The sequence below is a fragment of the Homo sapiens genome, chromosome 5 (assembly GCF_000001405.40).
Source record: "Homo sapiens chromosome 5, GRCh38.p14 Primary Assembly".
Taxonomy (NCBI): Eukaryota; Metazoa; Chordata; class Mammalia; order Primates; family Hominidae; genus Homo; species Homo sapiens.
Window position 1 is genome coordinate 121,093,010 of NC_000005.10, and position 16,296 is coordinate 121,109,305.

General features: G+C 35.4%; 2 annotated features.

Moving 5' to 3' along the window:
* Nucleotides 13,729-14,230: an enhancer, noted in NCBI's record as "H3K27ac-H3K4me1 hESC enhancer chr5:120442433-120442934 (GRCh37/hg19 assembly coordinates)". NCBI's record gives its function as "activates a minimal SCP1, AML or CMV promoter by ChIP-STARR-seq in primed H9 embryonic stem cells {active_cell/tissue: H9 hESC(primed)}" and the evidence as "EXISTENCE:reporter gene assay evidence [ECO:0000049][PMID:30033119]".
* Nucleotides 14,231-14,730: an enhancer, noted in NCBI's record as "H3K27ac-H3K4me1 hESC enhancer chr5:120442935-120443434 (GRCh37/hg19 assembly coordinates)". NCBI's record gives its function as "activates a minimal SCP1, AML or CMV promoter by ChIP-STARR-seq in primed H9 embryonic stem cells {active_cell/tissue: H9 hESC(primed)}" and the evidence as "EXISTENCE:reporter gene assay evidence [ECO:0000049][PMID:30033119]".

Sequence of the window (16,296 nt, forward strand, 5' to 3'; positions counted from 1 at the left end):
AGGAAACTAATTCTACAGCATCAGGGTCCCACCCTTATGACCTAATTTAACCTAAATTACTATTAAGAAATTAGAGGCCCATTCTTCACACACAGCCACACTGGGGTTTAGGACTTTAGCATGATTTTTTTTTTTTTGACAGGAAGTAGGAACAAACATTTGTAACGAACAGCAATGGAAAACATAGTGTTAAGACTTCACATTATAAAATTTTTTCAAAGTTATATAATTTTAAAAGAATACTGTTCTAAAATTTATTCAAGATCCTTTATAAAAGAATATTGACAGCTTATCTTTTAAGTATGCATTTATTATTTGGGTCTTAAAACTGTAAAATTTGGAAAGTAAAGAATCACATCGCCTGTAACTATTTACTCAGATATAACATCTGTAAATATTTAGTTTCAGAATTTTTCTCTTTGTATAATACTTGCCAAGTTAAAATTAAAAAGATTCTTAATTTCAGGATTATTTAGAAAATGTAATCACTAATGTATATGGACTCTTTCAAAGAAGAAAAGGTGTAATTCAAACTTATTTAAGGAATTTTTAGGTCTCTGTCCCAATATTTCCTTTAGTTGCAGTTTAATATAGAATCAACTTGATATATTCTATAATCTTATTTATATTGTTTTTATGCTTGTATGACCTCTTTTATTTCATAATGAATGAAAGATAGATTATTCTTCTCATTTTTATGCAGGGCCACCATTATCCTAGATAGTATTTTTGAAAGTATTTCCACCAGTGAATCATGCCTCTGTATAAATCTGAAGTTATATTTTTCTCCAGATAGATGTAACCCGTATAGGACACATACTTTCATAAAGTATCAATGACATGTTTCAAAGTTCATCGTTTTATTTTTGTATCCTTGCTTTTAGTCTCACAGGATCCAGTCAAAATGATATTTTCCAAAGTAACTTAGGTTAGTATTTTTCTTCTCTACCACATCAATGTGGTTTTGCTATTTACTTGTAATAAAGTGAGAATCATTAGTTATAGTTATTATTTCAGTTGGGGCTCTTCTAGCATCCTGGATAAATGTTTTTAGAACTTTACAAACAGTACAATTAACTGTGGTATTACACTTCTATGAATTCTGACAAATGCATATGTCCCTCAACACAGTCAGGATATAGAACAATTCTCACTCCTAAAATTCTCTCATGCTGTTTCTTCATAGTCAGTCATCCTCCTCTATACTCCTATTAATTTTTCAGTTTTATCAAAAAATTATAATTAGTTTACAAAATGTTCTTTAATTCTTCTTTTAATTTCTTATAAAAAATGATTTTTTTCACTTGTCTTTTATAATTGTATATAGTTGTTCATTCTTTCCACGTTGTATCCAATGTGTAAAATACTTTATGGTTTCCACTTCTAGGATTTGTTTATAAATTTTTCTGACACTTTTTTCATTAAACTTTTTCCTGAATCATTATTCATTCACTCCTATTTCTTTATTTTGTTTTAAGTGTTATTATTTTTCCATCATCTTTAGTGGAATTTTAATTATTTCCTTGTATCACTATGTAGCTGTCAGAAAAATGAGGACTGTAATTTTTTTGAAACATGCTTTGTCTACATTATATTTTTATTTTTATGATTTAATTCTAATTATGTACTCCTAATTATTCTTTGTGTGTAGATATTCTATAATTTTTGTTATGATTTTTTGACCCAGGCATTATTTAGAAAAGATGTTTTTGTTTTTAATATTTAAATATATTCCCTCCTCATTTTATTTAGTTTTAACTTATGTTAAAAAATGTAATATTACATATATTGAAATTTATTGATTTTTTGGATAGCATAATATATGGTTAAGTTATATGATCATATTCAAATTTTGTACTTGAAATAAGATATATTTTCTACTCCTAACATATAGATAAATAAATGGTGTTTTGCTTATTCATACAATGGCATGCTATACAACACTTGAAATTATTAAACTACATTTTTAATACAACATATATATATGTCAGAAGTCTGAAAAAGTTAAGTTGCAAAAGAGTACACATAAGTAAACATAGAGTAATGCCATTTTTATAAATTTGAAAATAAACAATACATTATTCATTTATTAATATCTCCATGCAGTGAAAGTATAAAAGCACATTATACTTATGAGAATAATATTAATCAAGTACAGGATAGTGCTCATTCCTGGAAGAAAAAAAGAAAGAAGACATGGAGATGGAATAGTCATTTTATCTGTAAAATTTTGTGTGATATTTTTTAAAAGAGAAAAAATATTCAATAAATAAAGCAATATATTGACATTTGTTTAATTTTCATTCCACAATATAAGAATCTTAAAGATCCCACAATTATAATTATATACATACACACACACACATACACACACACATGTATTTTAAGAAGTGAAAAAAATCTGAAACAGAGACTTCTGCTTTCCAATCCAACATATGTTTCCAATCCAACATATAAGAAGCTGGAAGTTGTCACCACACTATAACAAAAGTAAAAATAAAAGAAGCTAAAAAAAAAATCAACAACTATTCTTGATACAGAATAGTATCAAGACCCAGTCATCGGAGGCCCCCACACTTTTGTGAGTTTTATCTCCAGGAAATCGATGAAGTTTGCACAGAGGAAAGATCCCTCATGCTTCCAGCAGGGCATGGGGAAGAAGAACCATCTTACAATATGCCAGAGCATTCTGTTCTTCATTACAAGGTCTTCCCTCAGAAGAAACAATTTAACCAGACCCTAAACAGGCTTGGGTTTTGTCAGCGCTTAACTGACCTATGTAAAGGAAAAAAACTCAACTTCATTACTCTCTGAATTATTTTTCACCAAAGGCATTAGGCATGAAAATGAACAAGCACATGTGAAGTTTACAATCCAGTGGTACAAACTCCCTAAAAGACTGAGACCTACTCATGTAACAATAGGACACTACCCATTCCATCACAACTTACCACCACATTACTAAAGGCCTATTTAGAGCCGTTCCTTTTACCCACATCCAGTGGTCAAGAAAAAATTACAAGAAATGCTAAAAAGCAAGCAAGCAAACAAACAAACAAACAAAAACACACAGTTTGAAGAGCCTCAGAACCGGATTCAAATATGGTAGGAAAGTTAGAATTATAAGAGTAGGAATTTAAAACAGTTATGACTAGGATATTTAGGGCTCTAATCAGTAGAATAACATCATTAAAGAAAAAAGGACAATGTAATCATAGAGATGGAAATTCTCCGAAAAAAATGTTATAGATCAAAATCACTGTAACAGAAATAAAGAATGCCTTTGATAAGCTTATTGGTAGACTGAACACAGCTGAGAAAAGAAACTAGGAGTTTGAGGATATTTCAATAGAATGTCAAAAGTGAAAAACAAGAAGAAAAACGACTGAAAATTAACTATCAGAACAGAATGTTCAGAAACTGTGGAACAACTATAAAAGGTGTAACATACATGTAATGAGCAATCCAGAAAAAGAGAGAAAGGAACAGAAGTATTGGAAGTATAATGACAAAATTTTCCCAAAATTAATGTCACACACCAAACTGCAGATTTAAGACGCTCAGAGAAAGCCAAGCAGGATACATGCCAAAAAAATTCATCTATGCGTATAATTTTTAAACTACCGAAAATTATAAATTTAGAAAACCCAAAAGAAGCTAGACATGGGGAATAAGGTTTTTCCTTATATACATTGGAGTAAATATAAGAATTACATCTATCTTCTCAAATACCATACAAGGAAGAAAGAGTGGAGTAAAATATTTAAAGTGTTGAGAGAAAAAAACCAACAATCTATGATTCTATCCTCTGAAATATTATCCTTAAGAAGTGAAGGAGGGGCAGGAGGAACAAAGTCTTTCTCAGACAAACAAAAATTGAGGGAACTTGCTGACAGTAGAGAAGGAACATGATAAAGGTCAGAAACTCAGTTCTACATAAAGGAAGAACATCAAAGAAGGAATACATGGGTAAAATAAAAACTTTACTCTTAGTTTCTCTGCCAGATAACACTTTATTAAAAATAACAATAGCAACAATGTGTTAAATAATGTATGCTTATGTATGTATACATATACTTATATGTCTATGTATAAATAGAATAAATGACAGCAATAATATAAGGGATAGAAGAGATAAATTAGGGTTGTTTTGTTATTATAAAGTGCTTGCACTAATCTCAAGGTGATATATTGTTACCTGAGAGTGAAATTAGATTAGATGTAAATGTATATTGCAAATTCTAGGGCAACTGCTAAAACATGTACAAAAAGAAGTATAACTAATATATTAATAAAGGAGACAAGCAGAATTATAAAATGTTCAACTAAAATCACAAAAAGGAGATAGAGAGAAGACAAAAATAAGAAGAAAAAAGAGTAACAAATAAAAAACAGTAATGAATATGGTAGATATTAATACAACTATGTCAATAATCACTTTGAACACCAATGGTCTACATGTACCAATTAAAAGACAGACTTGTCAGAGTGTTTCAAGAAATAAGACCCAACCGTACATAGTCTATAAAAAGTCCACTCAAAGATTAATAAAGATTTAAAGTAAGTGGACAGAAAAAGATGCACCATGCTAAGATTAATTTTCTAAAAAGCAGAAGTAGCTATATTAATTTAAGACAGAACAGACTTCAGACCAAAGGAAGTCATCAGAAATAAACAGGTGCAATACGTAATGATAAAGTGGTCAATTATCCAATCAGATATAACAATTGGTAATGTATATATGTCTACAATAGAGTCTGAAGACAAGTGAGGCAAAGCTGACAGAATTACAAGGAGAAAGAGATGAATACATTATTATAGTTGGAGACCTCAATACCTCTCTATCAGAAATGGACAGATTCAGCAGGCAGAAAATTAGTAAAGACATACATAAACTCAACAACATTATCTGTCAAGTGAATATAATGAGCATTTATAGACTACTTTATACAACAATAGCAGAGTACACATTCTTCCCAAACTCATGACAAGCATTCACCAAGATAGGCCATATTGTGGGCTATAAAATACACCTTAACAAACTTAATAGAAATCATCCAATGTCTGTTCTCAGGCCACAATGGAATTAAACTAGAAATCAATAACAGAAATAGAGCAAGAAATTACAAAATATTTGAAGCTTAAACAACACATGGGTCAAAAAAGAAATCTCAAGAGAAATTTAAAAGTTTGAACTAAATGAAAATGAAAACATAAAATGTGTGGGTTGGAGTAAAAGCAGTACTCTGAGAGAAAACTATAGCATTGAATGCATATATTAAGAAAAAGAAACATTTAAAATCAATTAATTTCAAATTTGAAAACTAGATAAAGGATACCAAATTAAGTCCAATATAGGCAAAAGAAAAGAAATAAAAATTAGAGCAGATATCAATGAAATTGAAAACAGGAACTCAAAAGAGAAAAGTTAATGAAAACAACAGATGATAATTTTGAAAAAAATCAAAATTGATAGGCCTCTAGTGCAGGCTAGCTAAGAAAAAAAGAAAAAAGGACACAAATTATTATTATCAGATATAAAAGAGGGGATATCACTACAGATTCCATGGATATTAAAAGATAGTAAAGGAGCATTACAAACAATTCTGTGCCCCTAAATTTTATAACTTATATAAAATGGATTAATTGACTGAAAGACAAAAACTGCCAACACTCACACAGGAAGAAATAGACAACCTGAATAGGGCTTTACCTATTAAATAAATTCAATCAATAATTAATGACTTTCCAAAACAAAAAGCATCAGGCCTAGATTGTTGTACTCATGAATTCTATTACACATTTAAGGAAGAAATTACATCAGCTCTATACAATGATTTTCAGAAGATAAAAGCAAAGGGAATACTTCCCAGCCAATTCTATGGGGCCAGCATTACCCTAATACCAAAACCAAAGACATTACAAGAAAACAAGAGACCAATATCTCTCAGGAATATGAATGGAAAAATTCTCAACAAAATATTAGTAACTTGAATCCAATAATGTTTAATAATAAACCATTTCCAAGTTGGATTTATCCCAGGTATTCAAGACTGATTCAACATTTGAAAATTACTTAATGTAATCCATTTCATTTACATGTTGAAGAAGAAAAATTACATAATCATATCCATAGATGCACAAAAGGCATTTAACAAAATTTAACATCCATTCATGATAAAACTTTCAGCAAGCCAGGAATAGAGGGGAACTTGATCAAGTTGATAAAGCATAGCTACAAAAATCCTATAGCTAGTATCATATTTACTGATGAGAAACTCAAAGCTTTCCCACAAAGATTCAGAACAAGGCAAGGATGTCCCCTCACGGCTTTTCAACATTGTACTTGCAGTCTTAGCTAATTCAATACGACAAGAAAAGGATATAAAAGATACATAGACTGGAAAGAAAGAAATAAAATTGTCTTTCTTCAAAGATGACATGATCGTCTGTGTAGAAAGTCCAAAAGACTCAACAAAATCTCTTTGATGTAATAAGTGAGTATTGTAGGTTTGCAGGATACAAAGTTAACATATAAAAATCAAACACCGGCCTGGCACCGTAGCTTAGCCTGTAATCCCAGTACTTTGGGAGGCCCAGGCAAGTGGATCACCTGAGGTGGGGAGTTCAAGACCAGCCTGACCAATATGGAGAAACCCTGTCTCTACTAAAAATACAAAGTTAGCTGGGCGTGGTGGTGCATGCCTGTAATCCCAGCTACTCAGGAGGCTGAGGCAGGAGAATCACTTGAACCCGGGAGGCGGAGGTTGTGGTGAGCTGAGATTGCACCATTGTACTCCAGCCTGGGCAACAAGAACAAAGCTTCATCTCAAAAAAAAAAAAAAAAAAAATCAAACACCTTTTAATATACAATCAATAAACAAGTTGAATTTGAAATTAAAAATGCAATACTATTTACATTAACATCCACCAAAAAGAAAATACTTAGATATAAATTTAACAAAATATGCACAAGATCTGTATGAGGGAAAACCCAAAACTTTGATGAGACAAATGGAAAAACAACTAAATAAATAGGGATATATTTCGTGTCAACATTTCAGTTCTTCTCAACTTGATTCAATGCAATCTCAAGAAAAATCCCATCAAATTATTTTGTGGATATAGATACAACTGATTCTAAAGTTTATAGAGAGAGGCAGAAGACTCAAAATAGTAAACTGAGTTACTGACAGAGAACAGAGAAGACTGACACTATACTACTTCAAGACTTACTCACAAAGGTACAGTAATCAAGTCAGTATGCTATTGGCAAAATAACAGACAATTAGATCAATGGAACAAATAGAGAGAGCCCAGAAATAAACCCACATAAATATGGCTAACTAATTTTTGACAAAGGGACAAAGGTAGTATGTTGGAGTGAAGATAGTCTTTTCAACAAACGGTGCGGGAATAACTGGACATCAACATTCCAAAAAATGAATCTAGTCATAGACTTTAAGGCCTTACATACTTAACACAAAGGAAGTCAGATTGCTCACAGACCTAAATATAAAACTCAAAAATGTAACATTCCTAGAAGATAATGTAGGGAAACCTAGATGACCTTGGGTATGGTGATAATGCTTTAGATAAAACACAGAAAGCACAATCCATGAAAGAATCATTGATAAACTGGATATCATTAATATCAATAACTCCCACTCTGTGAAAGACGATGTCAAGAAAATGAGAAGACAAGTCACAGACTAGAAGAAAATATTTGCAAAGGACAGATCCAATAAATAACTGTTATCCAATATATACAAAGAACTCGTAAAACTCAAAAAATCTCTTGAAACATTAAGAAAAATAAAACCTTGATTTAAAAATAGCCCAAAGACCTTATCAGAAACCTCACCAAAGAAGATATTCAGATAGGAAATAAGCACTCATATGAAAATCCACATCATATTTCATTAAGTAAATGCAAATATTAATAATAATGAAATACTACTACACACCTATTGTAATGCTGAACATGCAGAATACCAACAACACTGAGTGCTGGTGAAGATATGGAATAACAGGAACATTCATTCATTGTTGTTGGGAATGCAAAATGGAAGACAGTTTGGCAGTTTCTTATAAAGGTAAATATACTCTTATGATACAATCTAGCAATTGTATTCCTTGGTATTTACCCAGAGGAGTTGAAAACTTATGCCCAAACATATAACTGCACAGGGATGTTTATACCAACTTTATCCATAATTGCCAAAATGTGTAAGTAACCAAGATGACCTTCACTAGGTTGTTAAATAAAAAAACTTTGGTACATCCAGACAGTGAAATATTTTTTGATGCTCAAAATAAATACTTATCAAGCCATAAAAAGATATGTAGGAAAACATTAATGCATATTATTAAGTGAAAAAAGCCAATCTGGAAAGACTACATAAGGTATGATTCCAAAAATATCACAGTCTGTAAAAGGCAAAACTGTGGAGATAGTAAAAATATAGTTATGTTCAACAGGGAGGTAGGAATTAATAGGCAGAGTACAAGGATTTTTAGGGAAACTACTCTGATAGTGTAATGGTAGATATATGTCATTGTACGTTTGTCCAGATCTATAGAATGTACTACGCTAAGAGTGAACACTAAGGTAAATTATGGACTCTGGTTGATAATGATGTGTCAATGTAGGTTCATCAATTGTTATAAATATATCATTCTCATGGAGTGTGTCCATAACGGGAGAGTCTATGCATGTGTAGCGGCAGATGGCATATGAGAAATCTCTGTACCTCCGGTTTAATTTTGCTCTAAACCTAAAACTATTTTAAAAAATAAAATCTATTTTAAAAAGCAAAAGACAAATTTGATTAAGTTTATGGATGGCCTGGATGTCTGTAGAATTCTTTAGTAAAATGAGAATTCAATAACATTATTATATTAACAGTAAAATATCTACAGAAGTTACTATGCCTCATAATTTATTAAGGAGCTTAAATACATTAAATATACAAACTTCATTAATAAATGTAATTATCTGTAATTTACCAGTGATGTCACAACATAAGGCAAATTATATAACTTGTCTCAACATGGTACAGAGTAAAAGAAAAAAGTAATTCTACTTCCATCTTCAAATCTATGTTCTTAATCACAATACAGTAATATTCCCATTATACATCTTCACCACAATGTGCCCTTTTGTTTATCTTAAACAATTTTTCCTGGAATTTTCAAATTAATATTTTTTATTTCAAAATTGCTTTTTATTACAATATTCAGCATATTTTCTCTTTATTTTGCTATATAGTTTTTCCTTTAGATATATGTTTTATCTATGGCAGTTTTTTTTTCTGTCTTATATGTTCTCTCTAATTATTGCCTTCTTTAGACCCCTGCATTTTGTGTATAAGATATTGCTCAAACTGCATTTCAATGTAGTTTTCATGGAAATATTAATGTTAGTTATATACATGAACTTTATCAATATCAGAAAAATTAAAAATTGTGTATTACCATATTCAAAGCTCTTACTAATCTTACAGTTTTAAACAATTTTATCTAAGCACATTTCTTAAACTAATTTCACATCCATCACAAACAGACGTAAGCATAAGCACACATATGCCTTTTTTCTACATGGGATATCTCACATTGGGCAATGTTACTGTGCATATTTTCTTAGGTGTGCTGTTTGTGTCACTGAGTTTTATGTCTTCAATATTGATTTTGTTCAGCCGATTATGTTGTTTAGCTACTGTGATGATCCTCTTTCTTCTTAATGATTTTTTTTCATAACCCAGCTCTTTTATATTCAGTTTTCCTATTACTCAGATTTTCAAATTTCACATTCTCTTTAAATTAAGGATGCAGTTGTGGTGCTAGAATAACGTGGGTTGTTTAAAATTTCTTTGTTATATTAAATCTTCTTTCTAAGCATGTTTAAAAATCAGTCTTTTGCAAGATTTTCTTTTTCTCCTTCTCCTACCCTTTCCTTTGTCCTTCACTGCTATTGCCTCTCTACAAAATTATTCCATTATTCCCATTTATTTTGGTATTATTAATTTTGATCAGAACCCACAAATATCTAGATAAACTATCTGCCTGAAAATCACATATATGGGCTATTTTTTTTTTTTTACTATCTCCTGTTTGAATTCACACCTAAAAACTTTACTGTGGAATATCTGATGTGTAGTCATTGTTCAGACATTCAGTTACCTGTGAGTGGAGAGAAGAACCTATGGACACAGTTAATGCTAAAGTCTATATTTTTTTTTTAAATCTAAATTTCATGAAAGTTGGTTGAATATCTTCAATTCTTCTTATCCATAAAGTGATTGGTATATCTTGCTTCACTTTGCAATGTAATGACAATGAAAATTGAATTTAAATACATTTTATCTACTCTCCACTCCAAAGCTTCTTTTGGTCTGCTACTACGATTTTTGCTTGTAGGATGTTTACACTATTGCTTGCTCTCCACTCTTACCATCAGACCATATCTTTTCTATTTAGGGATTTAGTCAATGAGCAAAAGTGATGATGTACAATTAGGCCATCTTTCCTTTTGTACTGTATTGATAAGCCCTGATGAAATTTACTGAAAATAAAATTTATTGTCTCCTGTAAAACACACACATATGCACAATTCTGGTCTCTCTATATTGGAAAAGATTTGTAGGATATTTTAATATTTATTTTACTTACTTCCCACGAACGTTTCCATGCCATTCATTAAGAGAGTTTTATATGATTTCCACTGTCCTCTTTCATTTGCTCCAAATTCTATTTAAATTGCCATAAAACTGTGCATTTGTGTAATGAAGCTAGAGGCATTCTCTTTCAGTAGGGATGATCTTTTTCACTTCTTTTTCTTTAGCTTGGTTCAATGTGAATAAAGAAAATTTTACAAAGAGGCATAAATGCTGATTCTTTTTCATTTAATTTTTATCTCCTAACTTTTAAATTCAACAATATAATTTATAATTATTCTCTTAAAAATGTGTTCTTTACTGTTTCTGTCGGAAACATAAGCCTAACAAGTTTTAGCAATTCATTCAGTCTGATGTTTTATGACACTGTGGTGTCCCAGCCCAGGAAGAACATGTTGGTATATCCAGTTTGCGTTTATAAGAAATTAAACTGGTCAGAGCTGTGGCTATAGATTTAAGAATTAAACATAGAAGAAAAAGAACAAAATACACAAAAAGTAACACCTTTTAAATTATTCTGAATCTGGAGTCCTGGAAAGACTATAGGGGTTAGTTGTAAAGTTAAGAAGTGGTACTGAGTTCAGTATTTGGAATAAATTTCATTTTTTCTTTACTTGTAGATTTGATGCTGGATTGACAGCATCACACACACACACACACACACACACACACACACACACACACACACACCCAATGAGCCACTGACTGTTTTTTAATAGAAGCAGCAAATAGAGATATTTATTCCATATTATCTGCAATAGTATTTTGTGGCATCACTGTCTAACTGAAATGGGAAAATTGGAACAATTATATTTCCAAAGTTTGCAGACTATCATGGTAGACATTTTGTACATAGAAAAAAATACAGGCCTAAAGAGAAGGTTATAACACAATGCTTGAATATATAGGGCTCTTCAGGTCATTACAAACTAATTACTCTCAATTTTAATCAATTATCTTGCTTCTATTATTTTCAACTCAGAAACTCCAGTAGAACCACACTCCAATAAAGACACGGGAATTTTCACTGAAATTTTTGTGACTTGTCTGTTGGCCCTAGATATTAAGGCTCATTGAAAATGTGGGGCTGGATGCAGTGGCTCATGCCTGTAATCCCAGCACTTTGGGAGGCTAAGCAAACCTTGAACCTAGGAGGTCAAGGCCAACTTGGGCAACATAGTGAGACCCCATATCTACAAAAAATAAAAATATTAGCCATGTGTGGTGGTGTGTGCCTGTAGTCCCTGCTATTTGGGAGGCTGAGGCAGCTGGATCCTTTGAGTCTAGGAGCTGGAATTGAAGCCAACTGTGATCCTGCCACTCCCCTCCAGCCTGGGTGACACCAGCCTGGGCAAAAAAGTGAGAATCTCTCTCGAAAAAAAAATTAAAAATAAAGTATTAATAAAATAAAATGCAGCTATTTGCTATATCACATTTCTCCACATTGACTCAGGAAACTTCTCTCTTCAGAATTTCTCACTTTGTATTGTTTTGTTAGGTTCAGTTGTGAGGTTTTCATATGTTGTTAGGATTTATTTTCAGTGTTAAAGCAATACATTTAAGAGATGTAACATATGTTTTAAAATGTTCATGTTGTTATAATGGATGTGGTATTGGGGCAAATCTAACTTTTTATGATGCTCTTTAAATTTTAAGTTTGCATGTTTAACAACAGTCAGTTGTTACTGATTATGACAAGCTGTACCAGTTATAAAAAATGCATAATTGCACACAAAGTTTCAATTATGGTTCCCTTAATTACCAGAATAAAATTTCATTAACTCCTTGCTTGTATTTCTTCTGTCAAGCAAAGCAATATTTTTTGATCACTAAGTGAAAACTCAGTTTGTTTAGAATTACTGAAATATTTTCCTTTTATTTCACTTTATTATTAAAATGGCTTTGGCACTAATTTTAAATGGTATCATTTTCTTTTCTATTTCATCCAAATGTACTCAATCTTTAATGTGGTAACTGCCACGTAGTAAAACATAAGTAAATATTTGTTGAGTATATGAAAATAAATGATATAAAAAATAGAAATTTGGTGAAAATTTATGTATTTTTCCTCTAAAATCAAAAGCAATGACTGATAAGAAAAAACATTATACAAACTTAAAACAAAGTATTATAAAAAAATTATACAAACTTAAAAATAAGCATTTAAATTTAGTAGCCTAGTAAGGCCTGGAAAGTTCTCTAAAACTTCAAATACAATTTTGTATATTTTTAAAATATACCTTACAATTCAAGTTAAATGTCAGATTTGACGTTTGTTCCCTACTGCTGCTAAACAAATGCTACATGTAATTTAGCATTATAGTAGCTTGTCTTGACCCAACTTGATCATTTTAATGGGTATTTAAAAGATTAATTCACATAAGAGTAAATAACTGGGCATATTTTTCCTGTTTATTTTTCCCAAGACAAATGAGGAAGTGCAGCATTTAGTTTGCACTCTATGTTTTTCTGCCTTGTCACATATACTACTTTGATTAATAAAAGGTTAACTTTGTTTATATTTCTTCAGTAGATTTCCTCTATGGTTGGGACAATGTTTGAGCTGATGTACATTAAAAGTTAAAATATCTGAAATTACGCATAAAGCAGAATGTAAATGGATTTCCAGTGTAATTAAATAACCAAAATTATAATTTTCTCCTTTATCCAATCTACTGTCATGTTTTCTTTAAAATTTTGATTAGCTATGTACCATTTGTAATATAGGGTATTAGCTTTCACAGAATAAACAACAGTGCTCCACAAAGAGGAAAAATTGCAGTGAAGAATATCTGCACCACGCTTGTGTTATAGGATCTTTAGGGTATCAGTTTTCTTTCCCTGAAACCTCTGTTGCTGGTGGCACCTTTGCCCTTTGCCTGAGTTCTTGTCCTGCAGGCAGGAAGAATGAGGTTTGCTGACAAGCGAAGGGTGAAGAATATGAAGAGGAGCTTTATTTAGAGTTAGAACAGCTCAGAAGGAGATCCACAGTGGGAAGCTCCCCTCTGTGGGCAGGCAGGTCGTCCATGAAGTGTGCAGCTCTCAACAGAGAGGAGGCCCTGGAGAGAGTAATTCCTCTCTAGTCACTGGCAATGCCAAGGTCCACTGCTCTCAGCAGAGAGGAGGCCCTGGAGAGAGTAACTCCTCTCTACCCACTGGCAGTGCCAAGGTCTGCTGTTCTCAGCACAGAAGAGGCCCTAGAGAGAGTAACTCCTTTCTAGTCACTGGCAGTGCCCAGGTCAGCTGCTGTCAGCAGAGAGGAGGCCCTGGAGAGGGGAGCTCCTCTCCTCAGGCAGGTCTGCAGGTCGTATTGAGAGGTGACAGCTGCTGGCAGTCCTCACAGCCCTCGCTCGTTCTCGGCGCCTCCTCTTCCTGGGCTCCCACTTTGGCGGCACTTGAGGAGCCCTTCAGCCCACTGCTGCACTGTGGGAGCCCCTTTCTGGGCTGGCCAAGGCCGGAGCCGGCTCCCTCAGCTTGCAGGGTGGTGTGGAGGGAGACGCGCGAGCGGGAACCATGGCTGCCGGTGGCACTTGAGGGCCAGCTGGAGTTCCGGGTGGGCGTGGGCTTGGCAGGCCCTGCACTCGGAGCAGCCAGCCGGCCCTGCCGGCCCTGGGCAATGAGGGGCTTAGCACCCAGGCCAGCGGCTGCGGAGGGTGTACTGGGTCCCCCAGCAGTGCCAGCCGACTGGCGCTGCGCTCAATTTCTCACCGGGCCTTAGCTGCCTTCCTGCAGGGCAGGGCTCAGGACCTGCAGCCCGCCATGCCTGAGCCTCCCACTCCCTCCATGGGCTCCCTGGCTCCGGAACCTCCCCGATGAGCACTGCCCCCTGCTCCACCGTGCCCAGTCCCATCGACCACCCAAGGGCTGAGGAGTGCGGGTGCATGGAGCAGGACTGGCAGGCAGCTCCACCTGCAGCCCCGCTGCGGGATCCACTGGGTGAAGCCAACTGGGCTCCTGAGTCTGGTGGGGACGTAGAGAACCTTTATGTCTTGCCCAGGGATTGTAAATACACCAATTGACACTCTGTATCTAGCTCAAGGTTTGTAAACACACCAATCAGCACCCTGTGTCTAGCTCAGGGGTTGTGAATGCACCAATGGACATTCTGTATCTAGCTACTCTGGTGGGGCCTTGGAGAACCTTTATGTCTAGCTCAGGGATTGTAAATATACCAATTGGCACTCTGTATCTAGTTTAAGGTTTGTAAATACACCAATCAGCATCCTGTGTCTAGCTCGGGGTTTGTGAATGCACCAATTGACACTCTGTATCTAGCTAATCTGGTGGGGAGGTGGAGAACCTTTGTGTCTAGCTCAGGGATTATAAACACACCAATCAGCACCCTGTCAAAACAGACCACTTGGCTCTACCAATCAGCAGGATGTGGGTAAGGCCAGATAAGAGAATAAAAGCAGGCTGCCCGAGCCAGCAGTGGCAACCCGCTGGGGTCCCCTTCCACACTGTGGAAGCTTTGTTCTTTTGCTCTTTGCAATAAATCTTGCTACGGCTCACTCTTTGGGTCCACAGTGCTTTTGTGAGCTGTAACACTCACCGCGAAGGTCTGCAGCTTCACTCCTGAAGCCAGAGAAAACACGAGCCCACCAGGAGGAACGAACAACTCCAGACGCGCCGCTTTAAGAGCTGTAACACTCACCTGCGAAGGTCTGCAGCTTCACTCCTGAGCCAGTGAGACCACGAACGCAGCAGAAGGAAGAAACTCCGAACACATCCGAACATCAGAAGGAACAAACTCCAGACGCGCCACCTTAAGAGCTGTAACATTCACCGCGAGGGTCCGCGGTTTCATTCTTGAAGTCAGACCAAGAACCCACCAATTCCGGACACAGTTTGGCAGTCTCTGCAGGTCTCTGCAAGTCTATGACACTCTTAGCAGAGAGAGTAGCTCCTCTCTGCTGCTGGTCCGCCGGGCCTCTGCTCAGCTCTGGGGGAGCCTGGGGCTTTTTATGGGCCTCAGAGGGGAAGTGTGTGCTGACTGGCCCATGGGTGGCCATGGGCAGGCCTGGAAAAGGCACCAGTTCCCACTCCAGTCAGTGGGACTGGCAGCCTGACCCCTCAGCCTTCAGGTGCTCCCTGGTCTGAGGCAGGGACCTTACCAGGGACCCACCCCCTTCTGCCTAGGACTCTGCCTCCCGCTGTTATTGGCTCCCAGGCTTAGGCCGACTTTGCTCTGAGATCCCAAGGGGCACCAACAGCAGGGCGAAGCCAGGCAGACAGGGCAGGCATTTCCGAGCCTTGCAAGGGCAGGGGCCGCCTTCTCAGGCCCTCAAGAGTGCAGGGATGCCTGAGTCTGCAGCGGCGGTTTGGGCTGTTGCAGCCCCGCCCAAAAGGGCGGGGCTCCTCCCTGTTGTGTGGATAGGGCAGCCCCAGCCACACCTCCCTGCTGAAGCTGGGATGATTGCAGTCTGACTGGAGCGGCTGCTGCCATTGCTTGGACTCTTCTTCAGGAGATAATTACCTAAAAAACATAAAATAAAACCGGTGCCCACTTTCTCATGGTTATGACAAAAGGTTTCACCAGGTGAAGTTTAAAAAGCTCTGTTAAAATACGGACTGCAAATCTTGGTAGCAAAAAAAAAAAAAAAAAAACCCACAAAAATAA